Raw genomic sequence first — 27,860 nt, 5'->3', positions numbered from 1 at the left:
TTCAGGAATAGTAAAAGAACTAGTGGTAAGCTTTGACTCCATTTAGATATATCAACAGGATGAAAGCACTATAGAAATTGTGATTACAAAAAATGTATGGAAGTGTTTTAAATTTTGACAAAATAAATAATAATATACCAATAATACCAGAATTTGGCAAGAAGAGAGGAAGAAAATATAAGTATGCTATTTTCCTTATGTTTCACAATAGGAAGTCAATAGACACTACCAAAATTTGAAATGCAGCTTTAAAAGACTAATGGTATCAACCAAAAAGGCATTTTTTTCTATTCTTGTTTAGAGAAGTCTTTTAGAAACTAAAATATAATGTTGTGAATAAACATTTATAAAAAATTCATATATTCCTTCCACTTCAGCTATTTCTTTTTTCCACTAGGATATAATGAAATAAATTTATATTTTAAATTCATGGCCACACACGGTGGCTCACGCCTATAATCCCAGCACTTTGGGAGGCGAGGCGGGTGACTCACGAGGTCAGGAGTTCAAGACCAGCCTGGCCAAGATATTGAAACCCTGTCTCTACTAAAAATACAAAAAAATTAGCCAGTCATGGTGGCGGGCACCTGTAATCCCACATACTCAGGAGGCTGAGGCAGAGAATTGCTTGAACCCAGGAGGCAGAGGTTGCAGTGAGCTGAGATCACGCCACTGCACTCCAGTCTGGGCAACAGAGTGAGACTCCATCTTAAAAAAAAATTAAAAATAAAATTCATGTGGTCCTGTTTTGTAAATTTTATTCTATGCCTAAATTTGCACGTGTGTAGAGAAAAATATCAGGGTTGATATTTAAAAGTGCCAACAAATGTTCATTCTATTTGATAAGACTCATGTAACTTTAATAAAAAGGTATTTTATTTTTCTTTGTACTTTTAAATAATAGTTTTTAAAAATGCAGTTCTATACTTTTTGCAAAAACCACAAAGGTTATTATTTTCTCTAAAAGCTATTTTAAAAACAAATAAGGGGCCAGGCATGGTAGCTCACATCTGTAATCCCAGCATTTTGGGAGGCCAAGGAAAGAGGATCTCTTGGGGCTAGGAGTTCAAGACCAATCTGGCAACATAGGGAGATCCTATCTCTACAAATTTTTTTTTAATCTGCCAGATGTGATGGCATGTACCTATAGTCCCAGCTACTTGTGAGGCTGAGGTGGGAGGATTGCTTGCGCCCAAGAGATCAAGGCAGCAGTGAGCCATGTTCACACCACTGCCCTCCAGCCTGGTCAACAAAGCAAGACCCTGTCACAAAAATAATAATAATAATTTTAAAATTAAAAAAATAAGGAAGCAACATCAATAAAGTCTGAAGGTGAAATATAACAATACATTTTTACCATGGAATATAATAACACCCTATATCATTCCTGGGAAAATTAAATGAACCTATTGAAAGATGAAGCATTGGCCAGACACAATGGCTCACACCTGTAATCCCAGCACTTTGAGAGGTTGAGGCAGGAGAATGGCTTGAGGCTAGGAGTTCAAGACCAGCCTGGACAATATAACAAGATCCTATCTATAAAAAAAAGAATTTTTAATTAACTGAGTGTGGTGACACATGCCTGCAGTCCCAGCCACCTGTGGGGCTGAAGTGAGAGGATTGCTTGAACTGAGGCATTCAAGGCTGCAATAAGCTATGATTACACCACTGCACTCCAGCCTGGGAAACAGAGTGAGACCCTGCCTCAAAAAAAAAAAAAAAAAAAAAAAAAGGCATAGACCACAGCATACCAATAACTAATATCTAAGTGAACTCAAAGCAAACAAATGAAAAAATAAGCAAACAAAAAAAATTAAATGGAACCCAAAAGAGGTCATTTTATAGTGACAAATTTTTTTAACTCACCAAAAAAAACAGCTATCAGGAATATAAGCTGACTAACATAGAATATCTAAACCAAAAAGCTTATTCAACAGAAAACTGACAGAAAAATATAGTAATGAAAAACTAATATTCTACTCTTGCATTATAACAAATACAAGAAAATATCAATAAAAATGCAGAGGTGCTAAATATCAGAATTTATACCTTACATAAATTCCAGAAATATTTATGAATTTTCTGTGGAATGTAAGAATTCAAAAAGAAAATCCTTAAAATACAGGATAGCAAAAAGTATATAGGCTCACATTCTCTTTCTATAATGCAAAAAAAAAAAAAAAAAAACAAAAACGACAAATTAACAGCAAAACTTAAACCAAAAAAGAAAATGTCACTTTGGAACTAAAAATATTTTGCTAATAAATTCGGTTTCAAGAAAAAATCCTTCTTCCCTCTATGAGTCTGTTTTTTCATATTTTAAAAAGGTTTTTCAACTAAGAGATCTTATAAGGTCTTTAGAGCCACAGCTCTTCCCCTGACACATAAAAACCACAATGACTTTTAAGTATTTAGGAAGCATATATCATATGTTCATCTTTCTCACTGATTATTCAGTGTGATATGCAAAAGTAAAATGGAATGTATTATCTAGTCGGAGAGTTAGGAAAGTCAAATAGTAGTTCATCAACATAATTATGAATGTGATAGAAATTCAGAGAAGAGGGAGACCATGATAAGCAGGAAAGGCTTATTTATGTGACTTGAGCTATGTCTCGAAATAGAAACATGAAAATCCAGAAAAGATATGGGGGAAACATTCTGGTCAACAATATTAGATCAATGAAAGCTAAAGAACAAAGTATTATTGAGCACACATGGACATAAACATGGGAACAACAGACACTGTCGACTACAAGAGTGGGGAGGGAGGGAGTGGCTGTGGGTGGAACACCTACTTATTGGGTACTATGCTGACTACCCGGGTGACAGAATCTGTACCCCAAACCTCAGCATCACACAATATACCCATGTAACAAACTTGCACTTGTACCTGCTGTATCTAAAATAAATGTTTAAAAAAATTTAAATAAGCTAGGAAATTTTTTAAAAAGAAGAAACTGTTAAGTAACAAATTTAAAATAAGTGACTATTGTGGACCTAGCCTAGGAAGAAAAACATTGAAGTACTAGACCAAATTGCTCAAACTAAAAAATGAGCTGCAATAAGTACTGCAATAAGATTTTAAAGCTTGCTGTGAGCTGCCAGCAAAGTTTAGAATGGTTCTCATCTTTGTGAAGTTTCATTCAAATGGACTTCCACACTTGTAGATATATTTATTTGATATCTCCAGAGAAAGTAACATTACTGATAAATGATGATCTTTATTTGCCACTTGAGAAACTGACCACAGCAGAAGTAAGATGCTGGGCTCTTCTGATTCTGTAACCTGTGTATTGATTTCATTTTCCCATAGTCTGACCTACAAAAATTGAAAATAATTAAATAAAAAACAATTTAATTGAGAATGAGATTTAATCTGAAAAGGAAGAAGAAAACACAGACAGAATTGGAACTGGTATGTAATAAACAAGGTAGAGAGGACTAAAGCTGCCAAGTAGGTGGGAGTGGAAAGAAAAAAAACATCTTAGACTCTGAGCAAAATGCTGTTATTAAGTATAATTGCATCAACTTGATCTAAATCCAACATTTCTTATTCACTGAAAAGAAACGTATTTAAAAAGCAGCAACTTCCTTCATAAATCAACACATTCAGCCAAGGAAGCTTCTATCAAAAAGCTTTAACCCTAAAGGTAATAAAAAGCAAGAGAAAAATTATTTCAGTACTGTCAATTTCAAATAACTTCCTAATATAAATATGTGGGCTGAGCACTGTGGCTCATACCCATAATCCCAGCACTTGGGGAGGCCAAGGTGGGAGGATCACTTGAGGCCATAAGTTCAAGACCAGCCTGGGCAACATGGTGAGTCCTCATCTCTAAAAAATATGAAAAAATTAGCCAGGAATGGTGGCATATGCCTATAGTTGTAGCTACTCAGGAGGCTGAGACAGGAGGAGGCATATGCCTATAGTTGTAGCTACTCAGGAGGCTCCTGAGACAGGAGGCAGAAGTTCAAGGCTGAAGTAAGCTATGATCATGCCAATGCATTCCAGCCTGAGCAATAGAGCAAGACCCTGTCTCTAAAAATAAATAAACAGATAAGCTATAGCTAAGTTAGTAATAATTACCTTTAAAATTCTAACAGATTATGATATTGATTTGAGTAATAACTCTCTCTCCCACATGGTATGGCTAGATGTGCGTCAATTAAATGCTCTCTCGACTGCAATGTCATGAATTAATTTTGTTTGTACAGTGAGCAGGAAGAACTCGTCAGACAGTTACAAATTTGGGGGCTTATCCAGGATCCACCCTTGCAAATATCTGCCCATGGTTCATCAGCCTCCTCCAGTATAACAGACCTAGAGGTGAGCTCTTACAACTGCTTATTTCTACTGAGGGTCATCTTTGGCACTGTACCTGCTGGTGAGGCACTGTCGACCCATAGGGCAGAGATCTAATTACAGTGAAGAAATAGTCCTGGAACCTGTCTGAAATGCCTCTTATTAAAAAATCTGTTTGCCTTCATCAAATACAAAGGCCTAGCCCATCTGCAATGCCACCTCCTGATATGGGAAACAGCTGTTCAGCTGAACTCATCTAGTCTCAGGACTAGGAAATTAAAAAAATATGGGATGATATATTTAAATTTGCTATTTCCTATTTAGTGAATCTGTATTTCTAACAATCTACTCATTATCCTATAGTCTGTGGTTCACTTAAGTGCTATGCTAAAACTGTGGGTGAGAATATTAACGTCTTTGTCATATAAGCCTTGGAAGCCCAATCAGGCACCTATGAATACATGCAAAGCAGTTCCACTCCTCTTACCCTAGGGGCAACCCATACCACAACTATGCCCCCTGTCAGTAGGAAGAAGTTAGAGCAGTCCTCACCCTTTTCCCATATCATAGCTTACACCTCGGGAATGAGGCATGCTGAAACTCAAAGGGCGAAAGTGAAACAGGCTTTGCAAAAATTGTCACAGTGAGAAAATTATGGCAGTGGGGGAGACATGATCTAACCTACATCCCTCTAGCCTCTAACCTTCAAGCTCCCTTAATTATTCCTAGGCTTAGGCTAGGCTAGCTTTGGGAGACATTTAGTCTATAGTTTAAGTAAAAATAGCCCTTCCCCAAAACTCAACTGTCTTTGTAAAGCTAATGAGAGAACACCAGGCTAGGAGGATAGAGTAGCCTGAATTTTGCTAAGGTGTAGACAAAAACAATTGCCAGCCATTATTCCAGAGGTCACAAGATATGCAACTTCCCCAATACTCCTTCAGATAACATCACTATTGTAGAACCTAACAGTGGTCTTGTAAGAGATCTTTACAGGTTTTTTGCATTTCTGAAACCCATGATGGTTCCACCTGGACCCACCAACTGCTCCCAGAAGTGATTCAGCATGCAACAGGATCATTTCCCACACCCCTATGATTGCACCTTCCAAACAATTAGCAGCAAGCACCCATTGCCTAGCCACCCCAAACTCTTCCCCCAAAGAACTTTTGAAAAACCCCTAACCTATGAGCCTTCAATGAGATTGATTTCAGTAATAAGTCCCTCTTCAGTGTGGTGTGGCTGGCCTTGCATCAATTAAACTCTTTCTCTACTGAAATACAGTGAATTGATTTTGTTTGTGCAACAGGCAGAAAGAACCTGTCTGGGGTTACAGTATCTGGCCCACAATATTTTCAGCTGTCTGCAGGAAAATATTTATTCAATTGTCCCTCATATAAAAAGGGAACCAACTACCTACTCAGCTATTGGGCATTAGATGTGCTTTGTTGGCAAGATAAAAAATATGGGGCTCTTCTTAGGGAATGACAAAAACAGGAGCATTGAAAATCCAAGTGCTGTGATTTCTCGTCACATTAAATAACAGCAAGACCCTCTAATGAAATGATGAGCATCCTCACATGGCCTTGTAAAGTGTCAGCGCTGGCTTCCTCAGGCCTCTGCAGGGTAAACATACTCTTCCCTTAGACATTCGCTGTCTTTGTGGTTTACAGACACTAATCCCAGAGCCACAGTCTGTCCCCAGGTGATGACAATGGGAAGAAGGCCAACTACCACAACTACATCATAGAACAGATCTTCACAGGTGGGCTGCAGTTGGACATCACCTGCCAAGTCTGCCATGGAGTCTCCACCACCACAGACCCCTTCTGGGACATCAGCTTAGATCTGCCTGGCTCTTCCACCCTCTTGTGGCCCATGAGGTGAGGGAGTGAGGGCAGCATGGTGAATGGCAAAAGCCACATTTTGGGAACCACCACACCTATGGACTGCTTGCAAAGGTGAGAAGCCCACCAGCGCTCACGTGGCAAGGAAGTATCTTCCTCACAGGAAGGCTGTTGTTGATCAGGACAAAAGCAGGGCTTTTCATTCACATACCCAGGATAGAGCCTTGAGAAAAGATGTGGCATTAGCCTGCAGTTGGCTGCAGATGCTCTTGCTAGTTTATGCTGTTTTTTTCTTTTTTCTTTTTTTGCCGGATGACTAGATATTGGTGTTCACTAGCTTTGCATTGTGTAGGGTATCTGTAACACCAGCTACTATTCCAACTTCCCCCCTGTAAATGATCTGACAGCCAAAGAGCAAAACTGGAAGCTCCCTTACCTTTTGTGGTTAATAACCTAAACCGCAGCATGAGCTAAGAGCTGAGTGCTCTCCCCATGGTCCACGGCCTTTTTTGCAAGTGATTAAAATATAGTTGTGGTGTTCTGTACTTATGATCATTTTTGAAATTGTCCATTTACTGCCTCAGTTTAGATAAGTAATAAGATTTAAGATGTGACTATGATAAAAGGTATTTAAATAACTGTAGCATACAGCTTACAATTGTGGTGAGGGCAGAAAACCTTCCTAAACTTTATGTTAATTGAGTCTAGTGTTTTACAATCTTTATTTTCTTTTTCATGCATTAATTATAGTTTACTGAAGAAGAAAAAAACTCTAATAGAAATTACAATGGAATTCTTTCAAACACAGTCTAATCCTATACTTTGTGTTAAATTATATGTAAGAAAAGAAAAATCTTCAGTTCAACAATTAGAATTTATTTTTATATATTAATTGTGGAAAATACTAATGGCAATATTTGGATTTAATTGTTTATAACTGTCATCTTGCAAAAGCTATGAGAAATAGGAAGGTTCACTCACAGGTACCGAAAATAAAATGACAGGCTACTTTTGAACATAAGCATCATGATGCACACTATATGAAAATTTGGTGTTTTACTCATAATATTTCAGTTATTATTGACTGTTAACTCATAAGTTGCACCTAGACCAAAAACTATAAATTAACAATAAATATCTGCTGAGAAGCCATACCTTTGCACTTTTCTCAGTATGGTGACTCCTGAAATGGGTACATCCCTTGTATATAATGTATGTGTAAAAATATATATATTTCAACTAAATGTTCTCAATAAGGTCTTTCTACCCATCATTCTCCTGTGCTCAAAATACACACCAAAACCCCAATAATTTTTAAGTATTTCAAGATATTGGCTCCTGAAGGACATGAAGATTATAAGTCAAAATGAGACCCATACTCACCAGTGTGGATCTGTCTTTTTGCAAATGAACTGTCACTTAAGAGACCAAAGAGAACAGCTTTGGATGGATATATAGACTCCTGCAAGAATTACTCTTCCAGAAGTGAAATACTTGATGTTGCCCTGCTGGCAAGATGTTTTTCCTGTTCTAAATCCTTCTAAGTAAATCTGATACAAAATGTCTGGTGAGTATGAATATTCTGTTAAATTTAAAAAGACCATGTGATGGACATTGCAAAAGCCAATCTCAAAACTTTTAAATTATTTTTCAGACACAAAATAACTATAACTTGTGTTAAGTGCATAGCAATTAGAATTATATGTTTTTTCTCATAAAACATAAGAAAGCAACTTCTTTTTAAAATATTCAATGTTTTCAAAACACCGTTTCCATTTTTCTAAAATTCAGGCTTTAGATAAAACACTGATGCAAATATGAATACCCTTCGTTGAGCTTCAACAATAATATTACACTCAAGCCCTTAATAGGAGAAAACAACTCCATCCTGATGAGAAACTATAGGTGTCACTGAAGAATTCTACAGATGGCTTTTTTTTTTTTTTTTTTTTTTGAGACACAGTCTCACTCTGTCACCCAGGCTGGAGTGCAGTGGTGTGATCTCGGCTCACTGCAACCTCCACCTCCTGGGTTCAAGCAATTCTCCTGCCTCAGCCTCCCAAGCAGCTGGGACTACATGCACACGCCGCCACACCTGGCTAATTTTTTGTATTTTAGTAGAGACAGGGTTTCACCATGTTGGCCAGGCTGGTCTTGAACTCCTGACCTCAGATGATCCAACCACCTCGGCCTCCCAAAGAGCTGGGATTACAGGCGTGAGCCACTGTGCCCCGCCCCGTATGGCCTTTAAATGCTCAATAAAATATTATAAATAAGTAGAACTGAATACATCTGAGAATCTATGAAGCTTTATGGAAAGTTGTATTTCTATACGTTTGCTGATATTTTCAATTCCTAAACATAATCTAAGATGCTAAAAAGTTCATCGGCATCTCAGTTTTTATACTGATGACCTAGAAAAATTACTCACTTAGATGGCTCATTTCTGTCATTTTTGATAAATTTTGTAAACTTAATGTTAAAGTATGAATTCTGTTTTTCAATTTAAATACAAAGTAGCCCCACTTAAAATCTAAACTGTGTAAACACATGATCATTAACAATTCTGCATCACTTGACTTAATGAAACGTCTGAAACAAGGTGAGAACTTATTATAATGAACAGTGTAATATCGTCACAGTCTATCAATAAATGTTCTCTAAAAGGGACTCATCAAATGCTAAAAGAAATATTTTTGTATTCTGAAGAATAATCTATCAAGTAAACCATTTTCTTGATGTCTTCACCAGTTTTTACCTTTAATTTACTAAGGATATCTTGCTAGAAATATTAAATGAAAATGATTAATAGCACTAATTATCCTTCCTTTCCAATAAAAGTTATATTTTAAATTACTTTTATTATTGACATTCATACTACAATGTCACCTGTAATTTTTTAATAAAATCACTTGTCATTATTTCATAGAACTTCTAGAAAATTTCTTGACTAACATCCTCTTTAAAAACTGTGTTAAATTAAATCACTTACTGCAAACAGCCCACTCTTACTGCTACAGGAATGTGGGGAAGTTGGGTGGCCCACTTCAGTGTCACATCTTGATAAATATGCAGCATGTTATTATGATTTCCAATCAAAGTATTTATTGTTCCTTCAGAAACTGTAAGTTGAAAATACAGAAAAGAGACACTAAGAAAACAGTCATTTGGAAAAGTATATCTCTTTTAGGAAATTGATAGCACAAACTAATTCTAACACCTGGATTTTAATACATAAAGATTTTACATAATAAAACATTATTTTGTAACTTTACCAGTATAAAAAAGAAAGGAATCATTTTACAGTCTTGGAAGCTATAACTAGATAATCACCAACATTTTTGCATTTCATCTAGAAAGCATGAATTTCATTAATATGTAACACATTTAAGCTAATGATTTACTACGCATTCACTACAGATAATTCATTCTATTAGACATTACTATTGTGCTTATAAAAGAGTCTGATGTTCTCTTGAAAGCATCTTGAATAGCCACATTATGGAAAGTATTAATGTATGCCGGAGGCCAATTTTACAAGTCATTTTGTACAAAGTAAAATGACTGACAAAACCAAATGTGTGCTTTATATCAAACTTCCATTCAAACTTTGAAAGTTAAAATTTCCATTACATATTCAATATTAAACTGTTTTCATATATGTTTACAATATGTGTATGAGTGTGGCTTTTTCTGGTGTATATCACATAGCCTTGACATATGGAAGAGATAAAAGAAAATCTTTCTACACACCTGAGCAATATGGCAGAAAACAACTTGGGCTCCAATCAAGCTTCTTCATGAATCGAATTTGTCCATTATCCTTAAGGCAAAAAAAGTTTCTCTCACCAAGAACAAAAACAGAGGATGCCGACTGATTGAAAGAGACAATACATATGTCAAGGGCTTGCTCTCCAATATTTAGAGTCCAATCCACCTACAAAGCAAAACTCAATATCAATTTAGTTGCTAACCTCAGAAAATTTCAGTTATTTTCATATCAATATAAATTAAGAAATTGCTTTACAACAAAGCAGAAATATAAAGATGGGCTAATCTCTTTCATTTCTTTATTCTTTTTTTTATCACTATGACCATTTTTCTGGTATTTTACAAGACTCTAATCAAAGTTTTGTTCCATGTCTTACCAAATGATATTAACTATTCTGCAATTCAAGAACACTAAAACACTTATCTGCTTCCCTAAAAAACTTCCATGAAAATGATATTGTGCTTAATTTGCAAATCAAATTTAATAATCCATAAAAACTATCATTATGATTGTACATGTGTTTTTATAGGGCAACTAAAAATATATCAATATGCATATACAGAGTAGTCACCAAGCCACTAGAGAGTATAGCAGAATATTCTATACATAAGAGCTACTCCAGGATATCTCCATATTGCTGGGATACAGTTAATGTTCAATAAATGCTTCTTAAAGTAATGAAAGAATGAATGTAAAATGAGAGCTTTTCAGGATTCATCTTCCATACAATATTTCTAAGTCAGGAAAATGCAAAAGAGCAAAGACACACCATTTTGAAAAACATTGGCAGAAAGGCATATACTGTTTTCAGTTTTTCTAACTTTTACTTTAGGTTCAGGGATACATAGGAAGGTTTGTTATACAGGTAAATTCATTTCACAGAGGTTTGGCGTATAGATTATTTTATCACCCAGGTATTAAGCGTAGTATGTGATAGTTATTTTTTCTGATCCTCTCCCTCCTCCCACCTTTCAACCTCAAGTGAAAGTAAGAACATGTGATATTTAAGTGAGAACATGTGATATTTGGTTTTCTGTTCCTGCATTAGTTTGCTAAAGATAATGGCCTCCAGCTCCATCCATGTTTCTGCAAATGACATAATCTCATTCTTTTTTATGGCTGCATAGTATTCCATGGTGTATATGTACCACATTTTCTTTATCCAGTCTACCTTTGATGGATATTTTGACATTTTTGAATTGCTGAGGATTGGTTTATATCCGATTGTGTAGTTTATTTTAGAGTATGTGCTATGTGGTGACGAGAAGAATGAATATTCTGTTGTTTTGGGATGGAGAGTTTTGTAGATGTCTATTAGGTCCATTTGGTCAAGTATTAAGTTCAGACCTTGAATATCTTTGTTAATTTTCTGCCTCAGTGATCTGTCTCATAGGGTCAGTGGGGTGTTGAAGTCTCCCACTATTATTGTGTGGCAGTCTAAATCTCTTAGTAGGTCTCTATGAAATTGTTTTATGAATATGGGTGCTTTTGTGTTGGGTGCATATATATTTAGGATAGTTAGATCTTCATGTTGAATTGAACCCTTTACTATTATGTAATGCCCTTATTTGTCTTTTTTAGTCTTTGTTGGTTTAAAGTCTGTTTTGCCTGAAATTAGGATTGCAGCTCCTGCTTTTTTCCATTTGCTTCACAGAGTTTTCTTCATCTCTTTATTTTGAGCCTACAGGTGTACAGCATGTGAGATGGGTCTCTTGAAGGCAGCATACAATTGTGTCTTGCTTTTTGATCCAGTTTGCCACTCTGTGTGTTTTAAATGGGTCATTTAGCCTGTTTACATTCAAGGTTAGTATTGATACGTGTGGATTTGATCCTGTCATTGTTGTTAGCTGGTTATTACGCAGACTTGTTTGTATGGCTGCTTTATAGTGTCATTACTCCATGTATTTAAGTATTTAAGTGTTTTTTGTATTGGTTAGTAACAGTCTTTCTTTTCCATATTTAGTGCTTCTTTCAGGAGCTCTAGTAAGGCAGGTCTGGTAGTAACAATTTCCCTTCTCATTTGCTTGTCTGAAAAGATCCTTATTTCTCCTTCACATATGAAGCTTAGTTTGGCTGGATATGACATTCTTGGTTGAATATTTTTTCTTTATGAATATTGAATACAGGCCTCCAATCTCTTCTGGCTTGTAGGGTTTCTGCCGAAAGGTCCGCTATTAGCCTGATGGAGCTCCCTTTGGAGGTAACCTGACCTTTCTCTCTAGCTGCCTTTAACATTTTTTCTTTCATTTTGACCTTATAGAATCTGATGATTATGTGTCTTGGGGATGATCTTTTTGTATAGTATCTTGCAGGGGTTCTCTGCATTTCCCGAATTTGAATATCAGCCTCTCTAGTGAGGTTGGGGAATTTTTCATGAATGATATCCTGAGAGAGGTTTTCCAACTTGCTTGCTTTCTCCCCATCTCTTTCAGGGATGCCAATGAGTCATAAAGTTGGTCTCTTTACATAATGCCAAATGTCTTGGAGGTTTTGTTCATTTCTTATCTTTTTTCTTTATTTTTGTCTGACTGTCTTATTTCAGAAAGCCAGTCTTCAAGCTCTCAGATTCTTTCCACAGCTTGGTCTCTTCTGCCATTAATACTTGTGATTACATTACGAATTCTTGTAGTGTGTTTTACAGCTTTATCAGGTCCAGTTAAGTTCTTTCTATACTGGCTATTTCGTCTGTCAGCTCTTGTATCATTGTATTGTGATTCTTAGATTTCTTGGATTGGATTTTGACATTCTCCTGAATCTCAATGGTCTTTATTTCCTGTCCATATTCTGAATTCTATTTCTGTCATTTTAGCCATCTCAGCCCAGTTAACAATCCTTGCTGTAGAATTAGTGCGATCATTTAGAGGAAGGGAAACACTGTGGCCTTTTGAGTTGCCAGAGTTCTTGCACTGGTTTTTTTTCATCTGTGTGCATGAGTATTCCTTTTCGTGAGGTGTAAATTGAGTATAGTCAGTAGACTTCTTTTCTGGATGTTTTCAGAGGGCTGAAGCTTTCTGCAAGGTTTTTATTTATAGCTAAATTCTTGCCTTTGGTTTCAAAGTGGGGTATGTTAGCAAGTGCATTGGTCAGTAAGTAGGCTCTTTCTCACTTATGTGGCACCTCTATATTTTCTCTTTCTCTCCTTTTTTTTTTTTTTTGAGACAGAGTCTTGCTCTGTCGCCAGGCTGGAGTGCAGTGAAGCTATCTCAGCTCACTGCAACCTCCGCCTCCCAGGTTCAAGCGATTCTCCTGCCTCAGACTCCTGAGTAGCTGGGACTACAGGCACACGCCACCACACCCAGCTAACTTTTGTATTTTTAGTAGAGACAGGGTTTCACCATGTTGGCCAGGATGGTCTCGATTTCCTGACCTCGTGATCCGCCTGCCTCGGCCTCCCAAAGTGCTGGGATTACAGGTATGAGCCACTGCGCCTGGCCTTTTTTTTTTTTTTTTCCATTTGGAGTCTCACTCTGTTGCCCAGGCTGCAATGTGGTGGTGCAATCTTGGCTCACTGCAATGGTTGCCATCATGTTCCGTATCAATGCTCTGAAAGTGCAGCTCTTCTCCCACTTCTGTGCTGGCTGTAAATCACAGCTTGGCACTCCCAGGCTGCACTCTGCCTCTCTGGGGAGATCTCAAGCTTTATATTCCCTCCCCAGCTTAGAGGCAGCAGAGGAATGGACCTTAGCAGTGGTTGGAGCCAAGGGTCTTGTCTCCTGGGGCTTCACCCAAGAGAGATGCAGAGCTGCAATCAATCCATTAATCGGCCCAAAATGGGAGAGCTGTGGACCCAAGCCAGGGTCCCTGACAGGCATATATTGTATATGAAAGTAATAATGAGATGGTTTCACAGAGAAAAATCTGCATAAACAGGAAATAGGGCTGCTGTGAAAGTTAGGCTATGATCAACAAACAATGGATCCAAGAAAAGATCATGAAAAGTCACATTAAAGACAAGATGAATTTTTGGCCATCAAGACATGATCTTAGGTATTCATCTACTTTAGATATTAAAATATTTGAAGAAGGTATAAAATCCAAATGGGGCTGGCCAGAAAGGCAAATATTGCCAGTATATGTATAAGATCAATCTGTAGAAGGGAGACAGCCTAGTGAACATAGGTAGGTGCATCAGACTATCTTAAGCTGAACTAGAATTCAACACTAAGAAATTATTTGATTACTATTTGGCTCAAGTATTGCTTACCTATATAAAATGACTCCACTGGACAGGACATGAATATCAGTCCCATGACAGTTATATTTCTCATTATATTGTAACAGGCTAGCATTTGGCTTTGTACGTCAGTGTCTGTACCTCGGGCTGATGTGTGCCTCACTCTGAGAGGTGATTTATCCAAAGTGAACAGGCAAATCATGTTTCTGAGGCCACAGTCTGAGATCCAGCCACTAAATACTTTCAATTTACCAGGTACTGAATGCCACTCTGTGACCTCCACTTAGGGAAATACACTACATTCTGAATTAATGAGTCTCATAAAACACAGAAATTTGCTAAGAACAATAATAAAAAAAAAATTCTTCCACTTCCAGCCAAGATGGAGTAATAAGGAAATGATTTAGCATCCCACCTAAAACAACGACAAAGTGGACAAAATAAATGAAACAATAGTTTGCAAGGCACTGGACACCAGACAACAAAGCACAGCAATCCCTTAAAGACAGAAAACAAACGAGGTGAGTGGCATGATTGCTCCAGCCTTGAAAGAGTTTCTAGGCCATAGTGCAGGGAAGAAGAACCTAGGCAGAGCCCAGCAGACTCTGTGAATTGTGGAGATGGATACTCAGAGTCTGGAGAAACCACAGCAGTTGGAGTTAACAAGACAGCACACCAAATAGCTACATATAAATGCTGCATACAGACAGAACTCTGGAGATCTGCAGAGAGTGCCCTCAAATATTCAGCTGAGTACTTACTGGCAAATTATTGTAAGGAAACCACACAAGGCCAGGGAAAGAACCACCCAAAAAAGATTAGAGATAACAGTGCCCAACATTCACACAGGGTATAAGATATTTCCTGTGCCCACCAGCCAGGCTGCAAAACCTCATAATTCTGAGTGAATTGGTACAGTACTAAGAAGGATCTTGCCTGAGGAATAGGGAATAAGTAGCCCTAAAATGAGCACTACCCTGGTCCCACTTAACAAGTCTTGAGAACAAGGCCCCCAAAAATCAAACTGTTTCCAAGTAACTTAACTGTGTCCCAGGGATAACCTCAAGAACAGTATATACATAAAAAATGAAAAATTCGTCACCAGCAGGCCCACACTAAAAGAAATGTGAAAGGAATTCCTTTAGTTTGAAGGAAAATGAAACCAGATGGAAAGATGGAATTATACAAATTAAAGAAGAACAGCAGAAATGATACCTACATGGGTAAATACATATTTTTCTTGTCATTTAAATCTCATTAAAATATAATTGATTATTTATGCAAAAATAATTACAATGTAATATGGGGTTCACAGCCTATGTAAAAATAAAATACAGGACAATAGCACAAAGACTGGAAGGTAGGAAACAGAAGCATACTTCTTATATTATATATAAGGTAATATATCACCTGAAGGTAGACTGTGTTAAGTCAAAGAGAAAAACTGGAAACCCTAAAGCAAACACTAAAATAACAAAACAAAGAGTTATAGCTAATAAACCAACAAAGATAAAATAGAATTTAAAAAAAAAACTGGATAAATCCAAAGAAAAGCAGAAAAAGAGGAAAAGGAAACCAAAAAAACTAGACAGACATATAGATAAATAAAACAAAATTAAATGGCAGAGTATATATCACACTGATTTTAAAAAGCAAATCCCAACCAACTACATGCTTCTTATAAATTATGCACTTGAAGTATAAAGGGACAAACAGATTCAAAGTGGAAAGATAGAAAAAGGTATCAGAATAACACTAATCAAAAGAAAACTGAGTATTTTACCAACAGATTAAGTAGGTCTCAGAAAAAAGAAGATTATCAAACAAAAGGATAAAGGTCATTTCATAATGTAAAGGGGAGGGGTTCATCATGAGACAGAACAGTCTTAAATGTTTATGTACCTAATAACAGAATTCCAAAATATCTGAAGCAAAAAATAAATAAATAAATATAGATATATGCCAGGCGTGGTGGCTCATGCCTGTAATCCTAGCACTTTGGGAGGCCAAGGCAGGCGGATCACGAGGTCAAGAGATCGAGACCAGTCTGGTCAACACGGCAAAACCCCATCTGTACTAAAAATACAAAAAAATTAGCTGGACATAGTGATACATGCCTATAGTCCCAGCTACTCAGGAGGCTGAGGCAGGAGAATCACTTGAACCCGGGAGGCGGAGGTTGCAGTGAGCCAAGATTGTGCCACTACACTCCAGCCTGGGCAACACAGCAAGGCTCTGTCTCAAAAATAAATAAATAAATAAATATAGATATAGATAGACATATTTCCAAGGAGATACAAAAAAATCCACAATTACAGTCAAAGATTTCAATACCCCTCTCTCAATAACTAATAATAACTAGTAAAAAAACTAATAAGGATATAGAAGAGTTGAACAACACTATCATCCAACATAATCTAATTGACATGTATGAAACACTCTAACAACAAAAAAAATACACATTCTTTTCAGGTGCACACTGAACGTTTACCAAGATAGATCATATTCTAGGCCATAAGACAAATCTCAATGAATCTAAGAGAATTTAAATCATACAAATTATTTTTCTGAACACAAAAGACTTAAATAGAAATCAATCAATAAAAAGGTAGCTGTGAGTAACACAGGAAGCTATTAAATGACTTCCCACAACTATCTTATTAAAATCACTCCATTGGGTAAGTTCTGTTTCTTCTGCAATAGATTTGATATTGCTCCATGGTATCACATTCCTGCAAAGTGACTATCGTGTAACAAAATGAAGTTTTACTGCTATTTCTTACTCTATTCACTAATCGAATGGAAAAACCACTCAACTGCAATTGCCTTCAGAATACATCCTCAGTGTGAGACATGGAGTAATCAATAAAAACTGCAAATGATAAGGAAAGGCTATTCCAGACAGAAGAAAAACCATATGCCTAGAATGAAGAAGAGCCATGGAATATTTGGAACAATGAGAGGCCCTATATGGCTGAAGTGCAGACTATAAGAAACAAATGGAAGAACACCACTATTGAGGAGGTCAAAGGACAATTTAATTACCATTATCAGTAAGTTCATCCAGACATTTTGCTATGTGCTTTATATATTTATTATATACAATACATATATTTATATATAAATACCTAATTTATCTTATAACAACTTTTTTTATTTTGAGACGGAGTCTTGCTCTGTCACCCAGGCTAGAGTACAGTGGCACGATCTCAGCTTACTGCAATCTCTGCCCCCCAGGTTCAAGCGATTCTCCTGCCTCAGCCTCCCAAGGAGCTAGAACTACAGGCATGGGCCACCATGCCCAGCTAATTTTGTATTTTAGTGGAGATGGGGTTTCTCCATGTTGGCCAGGCTGCTCTCGAACTCCTGAACTCGGGTGATCCACCTGCCTCAGCCTGCCAAAGTGCTGGGATTACAGGCATGAGCCACCGCGCCCAGCCTAATAACAACATTTTAAAATAGATATTATCACTTTGCAAATGAGGAAACTGAGATTTAGTAAGGCTAACAAACTTGCTGTAACTTGCTCAAAAAAAAAGTAAAGCTCTCAAGACCTGTTTGACTTCAATCTGTGCTTTAACTATTATTACTATGGTGCTTCTAAATTCTGTGCAAAACTATATCATATTTTTATTCATTGTGCTCTTTTACTTTTTACTACCAATGAAAAAAAATATATCTTCATCTGATTCTTGACTCTTTCCAAGTTACCCTTCTGTTCTACCATCTCCTGAACTTCTGTATCCTAATACAGAAAATTCTGCATAGTCTTCTCCAATACTGTTATGTTAGTATTCTAAATTCTACATTATTTCTCCATTTAGCTTCCTTCTTGTGTATCCTCAGATTTATTTCACTGTTTCCACCATAATTTTAGTTCCTTCTATTTTTTGCCTTGCTGTCTATGGAAGTTCTCAAGATAAGGAAGAGTTCATAATCACCATCTATTCCCCAATTTACAATAAATGGAGAATTCATCATTTACAATTTTTCTTCAAACTACTTTTCAAATTATCAAACTTCACCTTTGTCTTTGAGCTAATTCTATCTTTGTGAGCTGTGAATTTTTATCTTTTACTTATATATTCGGTCGCATGCCTACTAGTTACAAAATATTTAAAGAATTAATGGCCAAAACATTTCTAAATTTTATGCAAACTAAATATTCATAGATGCAAGAAGCTTAACAAATCTTAAGCTCAAAAAAAGAGAAAGAAAAGTACACATTATAATCCCATTGCTCCAAACAAGTGATAAGAGAAAATCTGGAAAGCAGCTAGAGAAAAAAGACACTTCAAACAATAGAATATAATCTACAAAATTTTGCCTATTAAGGAGAGATTTTTTTAATGTTTCTATTTTTATTTGTTAAAAGTGACTCCATCTGGATATCCACAGTTCTAGTGGTACAACTCTACAATCTGTTATATTAAGACCATGACCAGGCATGTGTTTCCATTGCTCAACAACAACCAACTCAATTCTTAGGTCATTAATATAACCATAATATAGGAAAGAGAATGGCTGACATATTTTTTTACATTTTCTTCCCATGAATTATTATTGACAAACATATGTGATTAGATATAGCATTATTGAAATTTTTATATATTAAAAAAAGGCCTTACAACTAGTCTTTTTCCAGAACCAAGTTTTTGCTGTTCAGTCTCCTGCCTTTTATCTGCATCTGTTGCAAAAGCAAGTACCTGGTACCTGTATGAAAGAAATTTAAAAAATTATAAATGAGTTTATAATTAAAAATTATAAATTATTTTAAACTTTAAAAGTACACAATAATCTATAAACTTTATAAAGCACTTTTTCCTAGTTTTTAAAAACTCTAAAATTTAAGATTGAATTCTTATTGAGTGATATTGTGACATAAAACTGTGTAAAATGTCATGATAAAGAAATTATAACCATATGTCCATTATTCAGTGTTGGGAAAACAGCTCTACCAACTATTAAAGCACTTCCATTAGAATTTTATGTGACAAGTAACAATGCTCAAGAAAGATCTAGCACCTAAACACCAAATAGACAGAAAAAAATGTAAATATGCAAAGCAGTCAGATGGAGTAGAAATTATCAATACATAATCTATGGAACCAAAAAGAACTCAGTTTAACCCCAGTTTAACCACTTAACTAGGTAAGTACATTTTTGGTGAATAATCACTCTGTGTCTGGCTTCCCCATCCATAAAACAGAGATAATAATCTCTAACACAATCATTGTTAAAAGGATTAAACAATAAATTATAAAGTGCCTACTATTTGGTATATAGTAGGTATACAATTATTGATTGATGGGTTGACAAAGAGACAGATTTATATAGAGATAGAGATCAATCACATAGTAGTTTGTAGCTGGTAGGTAGTGAGTTCTCAGTAATCGACATTATGATCTATAAGTATTTTACAGCTTCTATTTCAATAGTGGCATTTAGCTCAAATTATTCTTAAAAACAATTTATAAATATTATTCAATCTAGAAATGATTAATTTATCTAATAAAGTTGAAATTTCTATATTTCTCATTAATTAATGGCATATTTTTAGAAGAATAATCCTACTGTACATAAAGCAACTACAGACTCACAGATGCCTTTCCCTCCTATTGAATCAAAACTCACATTTTCTAAGACACAGATATCTGAGAGTGTAAAAATCAGGGACCTGAATGAAGGCAATGTGGCATATCTAAACAAGCACTGAAATGTACAATGGTCTTCAAATGTCATATACCAACTCTGAAAACATCCTATCTCAATCAAGAATAATTCACTTATAAAAAACCTGTAACTTCAGTTGAATGCAGAATGACTATGATTTAAATTTTCCAAGACATAGAAGGTGATGACAAACTTAACAATAGCTTATAAAAAATAGATCTTATTAATATGAAAACGTAATATATATAAATTTCATTCATTTTATAAACATATAGTAGGGATCCAATACAAACATTAACAATGGAAAAACTACTACATAATCTATACTCATAAGGTGCTCCCACACTAGTTGTAGAGACTCATATACAGACAGCTAAGTATAACTCAGAGTATCCTGTGCTAATTAACAGAAGGTATGCACGTAGTACCAATAGTAACAAGTAATTGGGGGAGAAAAGATATGCTCTTGGTATAGGTTCAGGAAGAGAAAGCTAGGTTTTAAAGGATGAGTGAAAATTCTATCACGCTGGTAAAGAAGGAGAAGGCATTATGGCAAATCAAATAACAAATGCAAAGGCATGCAGCAGTAAAAGAGACATGAAAGGCCATGACAGGAGTTTAGGAGAGATGCATGACAGGGAGGAATGAGTCATGGGGCGCATGAAGTAAGAGGGAGAAGATCTCAGCCTTGTAAGACCATGCTACAAAATCCCACGGTCAGCTGCAGCCAATCTCTCTATACCATCTGAGATTGACCTTCAAAATCCCAAAGTCTCTAAAAGTGCAAAATAATTAGACCTCACATTCTGAACTCCAAATAGGATTGTTTTCCTATTCCCAATTCATAGCAACAGAAATAGTATGCGCTGGTGACTAGAACATCATCCCAAAGCTTGTCCTGCTATGGATCTAACCCTAGGCAATTAGTTACATAGGTGGTTCATTTCCTACAGAAACCAACCTGCCAAGGGATAATATAGATATTCATGAGATTGTTACAAAGGTCCAAAACTCTTTGAGCTGTTTGAAGCTTATATATATAACTATGGTCATTATTTTATCTAAGAAATAAGTGAGCCCCTAAAGCGGCCTTATTAACATTAAAACAGCAGGCAGAGGCACAGCCAAAATTGACTACTGATTTCCAAATCCAAACCATTTCTCTTCCTAAAAGACAACTCAGAAGAGTATTTTATTACTTAAACTTGACAGTAAAATTAGATGATGACAAACTTACAAGAGCATCTATTTTATGGTTCTTCCTTAATTCCTCTTAACTGTGACCAATAAAGTATGTAAAAATCTATTTCTAAAACCAAACAATTCCAAGCAGATTTGGAAATTCTGAAATAAAATATTTGGATCTTTTTTCTTACCACTCAAGTGTTCAGTAACATAAGCTACACAAAAAAGTTCCCTTGTCGAGATTGCTGAAAGAATAATCAGGGCCAATGTAACAAGATCTTATGAAAGAGTGCCATACATGTCTCTCAGAACAGAAAGGCACTAATCGCAACTACACCAAGTGCAGCTAAACGGTGGTGCTTTTTGACTCACTAACCACAAATGCTTCACAGGTCCTGTAGTGCACCAATAACAAACTCAACCACATAATTTAATACTCTTCCAAATTGCTTTGTAAAAACAGTAGCAGGTAACTAAAATATAGATTGAGGCATCACAGAGCACAAAAGTAAACCCTCCAAAATCATTTATTTTCAAAATAAACAGAACTGTCACCTCAGTGAGTGGCAGGAAGTTTTGGAACCTTGATATGTAACCCAGAGAACTTTACTAGAAATGGAAGCTCGAGACACAGAGCATTATTATGTTGATTTCAACTATAGCTAAAACATTCTTGACTATGCCGGGGAGAATCCTTTTCATTGAAAGATGCCAGTAACAAAACAGAAGCTTTCTTTATACACTTTTCACTCTTTTATCAGTTCTCATTGAACACCCACTTTCACCAAGGTACAGTGCTGGGCACTTCAGGGGATACAGAATTCCTGCCATCGAGGAGCACTGAGCTTAGTCAAGGAGAAAAACAAATGTTTACTATCAGTGAAAGCATAAGTAATACCTAAGGGAAGCACTGAAAAACTACTATGTAAATTGAGAAAAAGGAGATGTTGGTTACATCTAGGTCAGGGAAGAACTGAAGGGGAGCAGGGAGGCTTCTAGACATAATTTCCACGTGCAGAGAAAGAAGGAAAAGCACTTCAGACATAGGAGATAGACAGTATGTGGGAAAAAAAAAAAAGGAGAGAGAGAAAAACCCTTAACATATATGGAGACTACAAATATTTCCATTTGGTCAGAGCCAAAGATTGGAGAAGAATACTTCTTTTTAAAACAGTCAATTAAATTCAACAGAAACACTTTTAAATATTTATTTAAGGCTGATTATTTACTTAGTGATGTATTAGGAGCTATTGAGGGGTTGCTGGGGAAGGGGTATAGCAGACAGAAGGAGAGAAATAACACCCATGGCAGGTATACTCTTTTAGGGAGCCTCCCTACATTCAACTCTTAGAGGTCCCACCTCGAGGCCTCCTCAGCATCCTATGCAAAGCTCTGCTATAGCCTGTATGACAAATGGACTGAAGTAGCTGACTGACTTCCTGCCTCCTTGAATACTATTTGAGGATAAGAGGCACGTCTATTTGACTACATTTCCAGTACCTTGCACAGTGTATGGCACACAAGCCTGTTGAAAAATATTTGCTGAATGAATGACTGAATAAACAAACTGAATTATTCAGTCAGTGAAGAGATGTTTAACACAGATTCTTCTCTCAAGAACCTGATAATGCAAGATACTCTGGAAAATGTCAGTACAAGAAGGCAATACATGACATTAGCCAAAAATCAGTGTTTTAGGCAGTAATATATCTAGGAGGTGAAAAAAGGAAGACAGTTGAACCAGTTAACTTCAAAAGTCACTTCCAAGTCCAAAAGTCCACATCATAGAGGTAAAATGGGACTGGATTATAAAAAGCACTGAATGTCAATAATAAAATATCTAGGCCGGGCGTGGTGGCTCATGCATGTAATCCTAGCACTTTGGGAGGCTGAGGCGGGCAGACTGCCTGAGCTCAGGAGTTCGCAACCAGCCCGGGCAACACAATGAAACCCTGTCTCTACTAAAATACAAAAGTAATTAGCTGGGCGTGGCAGCATGCGCCTGTAGTCCCAGCTACTTGGGAGGCTGAGGCAGGACAATTGCTTGAACGCGGGAGGCAGAGGTTGCAGTGAGCCAAAATCGCGCCACTGCACTCCAGCCTGGGCGACAGAGCAAGACTCAGTCTCAAAAAAAAAAAAAGAAAAAAGTCTAGGTCTTTTAGTCAGAAATAAAAATTATTCTGGCTTAAGGAGGTGTTTTAAAAGAAAAGATATGAGAAGAAACCTTCAAAGTTTAGAGAGAAAAAAAAAAAAACGGAAATCCAAGTGAAAAAATATAGGCCTGAACCAATGGGAATGGGAAGGAGAGGCTGAATAAGAGAAAGTATTAAGGGCAGGGATTACTGACTAAATAATTCTGCAAGGCAAAGGATAAGAAAAGAGAATAAAAGATGATCAAAGTTTGGACATACATGGCCCAGAGAACAGTGGTACCAAAGCCCTTACCCTTACCCTCAGTAAAGGGCAAACAGACCAGGAGTGGTGGCTAATGCCAGTAATCCCAGCACTTTGGGAAGCCAAGGCAGAAGGTTCACTTAAGCCCAAGAGCTCAAGACAAGTCTGGGCAACATAGTGAGACCCCGTCTCTATTAAAAAAAAAAAAATGTCTCAGGGCAAACAATTCTCTTACTTCAAAAAGAAAAATGGTGCTCAAAGTGTGCCCCTGAATTAGATTGATCTGGAGTAAAAATTTACAATGATGATTTCTGGGTCTTATCCCCTAACCTATTAAAAGAAATCTAGGGGACTGGGGACTAGCATCTGTAAAAGTGCATTTTATAACAGGCTGTCCAGGTGACTCCTACGTACACTGAAGTTTGAGATCCCTAGCCTTCACTGGTTTTTATTTAAACATAATTAAGCAGGGTTTAAAGAAACTAAAGGTATCAATATCAAAAATGAAAATGAGTTATGTGTTAAAAGCCTATTCTATTAATTGATTATATTATATTAACTGAATATAGACAGATTTAATAAAGCCTCAAAAGAACAAACATAGTTTTCATGCTTTCTCCAAAATCCAAAAATGCAGCAGTGATTATCATTTAATATAATCTATTAAAGTTGAAAGCATATATAAGTACAACATACGACTTAATGTTGTAAACCTTCTTGATTGTCATCATTTCACAATAATCTCGTATCTCATGCATTTTTACCATTATAAATGAGCCACATAATGCATAACGTGTACATTTTTTAGTCTAAGACAAAGATGAATTTAATAGATTGGTATGTTGGAGACTTACCACAGTTAAAACAATGTGAGCTTCTGTTAGATTAAACTCACACATTAAGGAAATCTACACATTACTTCTCTATCCAATCACTCCCAGAGTTATTATCAAATTAATTCCTATGCACATATTTCAAAGAGTAAGTAACTGGGTGTTTAAATATTTGTACTGTGGCTCTAGCATAGCACTACTTGGCAGGAGGTGAGGCACAGAGCTGGGTGGAAAGCTAAAAAGCAGATGTCCTAATATTGCTCAAGTTTGGCAGGCTTGAGTAAACTATACAGATATTTTTCCCAACCTCTCCAAATAAATATAATATTTTATTTATTACCAATAGCAATGCCACCATTCAATCATCTCCTTTGGATAAGAGCCATAAGAATTACAGAAGGAATATTACATGATGATACACTTCCTAAATCGGTTAAATTCTGCTTACTCACAAACATTCACTTATTTTCAGAGTTTTAACCCTAGATGCCTTGACAATGATTTACAAAAAGCAAATGGCTACTTATGATGAGAAAGCTGCATTAACTTGTTATATACACAACATTGAAACATGAAGACAAAAATTTACATCTGTTGCCTGATGAATTTATATCTTCTTCCCATCTTGGGAATAATGATGTGGCCAAAAATAATGTTGAAAAGCCATGATGATGTGTTGCTTAGATGTTTAAACTTCCAAATGTTGCCACCAGTAAGACAACACAATAAAGTTACTAAAGGCACTGAAAACCTCCAAGGCTATTTCTTTTCCCAGCATGAATTTCTACTCTTTTCCCCATTCTCTCTGCCAATAAAAAACATACTCTCCAAAAACTCAAAACCTTGACTTTTATTTAAATCTAGCTGGTGGAGAAGAAAACAGTCTCTCTCATACACAATTTACCAAGACCAATAAGAATTTCTAGCGAATAAGTATAAACTATTTGCCTAGGGTCATTTTCATACTTCACTTATACTATGAATTGTTCTTCTAAAAAAGTATTGACATTCATATTAACAGTTCATGCCAGTATTTTTCCTATATCACACATATTCTTTTTTCTTATAAAAGAATTCCACAGCTAAATCTTCAATTTGGCTTTTTTCACTCAACATCGTATTTAATTATTTATTATATCAAGGAACAATCACAATAATTATTGAGCATTTTCTACAGGGTAGTAACTGGACATACATTTAATCCTTATAATAAACTTGTCAAAATGAGCTATATTACCTCCTTTAGAGCCAGGATAAGGACCATCAAACATCTGGAGTGGTAAAATCAGGATTCCAATCCAGGTCTGCCTCCCAAACCACTGCACTATATTGCCTTTCAAATATTTTACAATAGTAAATGATATAGTCTAAGTCACCACAATCACATATTTTCAAAGAAACCGATCTCTTTTTCATTTGTGATATTGAAGCTCTTTGTGGACAAAAATTAGTCAGCAACAAACGCACCAAAAAATCATGATTCTGAAGACTTAACATCCAAACTTACTTATAACTTTCCACTTGTTGGCAGGAAGAGACAGTAAGGAAGGAATCTGTACGGGAACTGTAGGCAAGAGGACCAGGCAGAAGAAAGCCAGGGAGAAATCTTCCAAAAGCATAGCTCTCCTGCTCAAATACCATCAGCATCCCATCCATAGACTGGATGCAAATTAAATCTCGACCTAAAGAAGAATTAGAGAAAATTAGATAATCTATTCTTTTTATAAATATAATATTTTTATTAATCACTATCTACAACATGTATGTCTTAGGCACCAATTTTACATAAATCATAGCATTAAGCAGCATTCGGTGTGAAAATTACTAATAGTGAAAAATACCAATCCCTAATTGCCCTCAACTATAAACTAATTCTGAGGTGTCTTCTACTATTAGTCTACCAGTATTAAGCACAATATTCACAGTTCTTAAAATTTACTGAGATGATGGTAATGATGATGATTTCTATGATACAGTTTATCATAGAAAACTGATACAGTTTATCATAGAAAACTGATACATAGAAAACATAGATACATTAGTATCCCTAATCTGAGAAAGATCTAGTGGCTATAACCTTTCATGTCCTGCTAGTGTGATTAGTGTATCCTATAATGTATTACATAGGGAAAAATTATGTTAGAGGAAAATTAAGCTACTCATTAAGGGAATAAATAAAAGGCCAATCTTGTACCTTGTCATCTCTAGCTCATACACCATATACAGTAAGTACTATAGTAACTATTCTTTATTACCTTGAATATCAGTGACAATCTTAAATAGCATACTTAGATTTTAAAGAGTGCTCAAAAAGAAATCAAATTGCATAGAAATAGATGATACTCTTCTTGTATCTGACTAAGGACAATCATACAGCTAAGCAACTTTTAAAAAGAAAACATATCACCAAAAGAGGCTAAAAAAAAAGAAAAAAAGAGAGAGAACAAACTGAGTTTTGGAGTGCTTATTACTGCATTATACTCTAACCCACCTCAACTGATACAATAGATTTATCAACCTTAAATAGCCTGAAAGATGTTCTAGGATAAGTATTGTCTGTGAATGAATGTTCACTAAACATACATCTGAACCATTCAGGAATCTCTTTTAGAGAGATAAAAATTGTTTATATTAATGCTGTTTGAAAAGTATTCTCTCAATACTCAGATTCTTTTATAACGTATGGTAGGCTTTACAGTTACTGTTTTAAGCTTTGTTTTTGTTGTTTTGGTTTTTTTTGTTTGTTTTTTTTGTTTGTTTTTATTTGAGACAGAGTCTCACTCTGTTGCCACGCTGGAGTGCAGTGGCACGATCTCAGCTCACTGCAACCTCCACCTCCTGGGTTCAAGTGATTCTCCCACCTCAGCCTCCCAAGTAGCTGGGACTACAGGCACCACCACGCCCAGCTAATTTTTGTACTTTTAGTAGAGACAGGGTTTCAACCATGTTGGCCAGGATGGTCTCGATCTCTTGACCTCATGATCCGCCCACCTTGGCCTTCCAAAGTGCTGGGACTACAGGCGTGAGCCACCACGCCCAGCCTAAGCTTTGTTTTTTTAATGTTATCCTTATCCACTATGCTATTAAAAGTTTCCAAAAAAGATGTGAGTTTATATGCATGTTGTATGTATATGCATGCTGTACACATGTATTCACAGAGACACAATCAGACAAAAAGAATCTCATCTAGCTATCTGGCAAACCTACCTGTCTGCAATCAGCAAAAATGAGTAAGTATAAAAATGCCTCTAAGTAGTTAAAATAAATGCTGCAAGGTCTTTGTAATAAAAATCATGCAAATTTTCAAAGGTAGGATTCCCAGGTCCCACTAAGGGCATCAATTCTTATTTTAATTATGGTTCTAAGAATTGTCGTTTTTATAAACAAGTTACTGATATTCCTGTAGCTTCAGCCTTCTCATTTGTAAAATGAGTATATTTGTATAAGAGCTCCAAGGTTATCAGCTAATCTTCAGCAAAGGCGCCAAGAATACACAATGGTGAAAGAACAGTCTCTTCAATAAGTGGTGCTGGGAAAACTGGATATCCACATGCAAAAAAAAAAAAAAAAGATCCTTATCTTACACTATACAACCAAAATCCACTCAAAGTAGATTAAAGATTTAAACCAAAGATCTGAAGCTGTAAAACTTCCAGAAGGTAAACATATGGTAAAA

General features: G+C 36.1%; 1 protein-coding gene across 19 annotated transcripts in view; it reads right to left on the bottom strand.

Moving 5' to 3' along the window:
• Positions 1-27,860, bottom strand: part of BBS9 (Bardet-Biedl syndrome 9) — a 506,483-nt gene that overhangs the window by 352,666 nt on the left and 125,957 nt on the right. For all 19 annotated transcript variants that reach the window (NR_145412.1, NR_145411.1, NR_145413.3 and 16 more), the window contains 4 exons: positions 25,692-25,866; positions 18,728-18,812; positions 9,907-10,090; positions 9,146-9,275 (listed from right to left, as the gene is read on the bottom strand). Coding sequence is in view for 16 of the 19 variants with exons in the window: in NM_001348036.1 (NP_001334965.1) it covers positions 9,146-9,275; positions 9,907-10,090; positions 18,728-18,812; positions 25,692-25,866 (574 nt within the window). In the remaining 3 variants the exon portion in view is untranslated. The remainder of the gene's footprint in view (positions 1-9,145; positions 9,276-9,906; positions 10,091-18,727; positions 18,813-25,691; positions 25,867-27,860) is intronic.

The sequence above is a fragment of the Homo sapiens genome, chromosome 7 (genome assembly GCF_000001405.40).
Source record: "Homo sapiens chromosome 7, GRCh38.p14 Primary Assembly".
In the NCBI taxonomy this organism is placed as follows: Eukaryota; Metazoa; Chordata; class Mammalia; order Primates; family Hominidae; genus Homo; species Homo sapiens.
The sequence above is the reverse complement of the archived record's forward strand: the minus strand, read 5'-3'. Positions and strand labels throughout refer to the sequence as shown.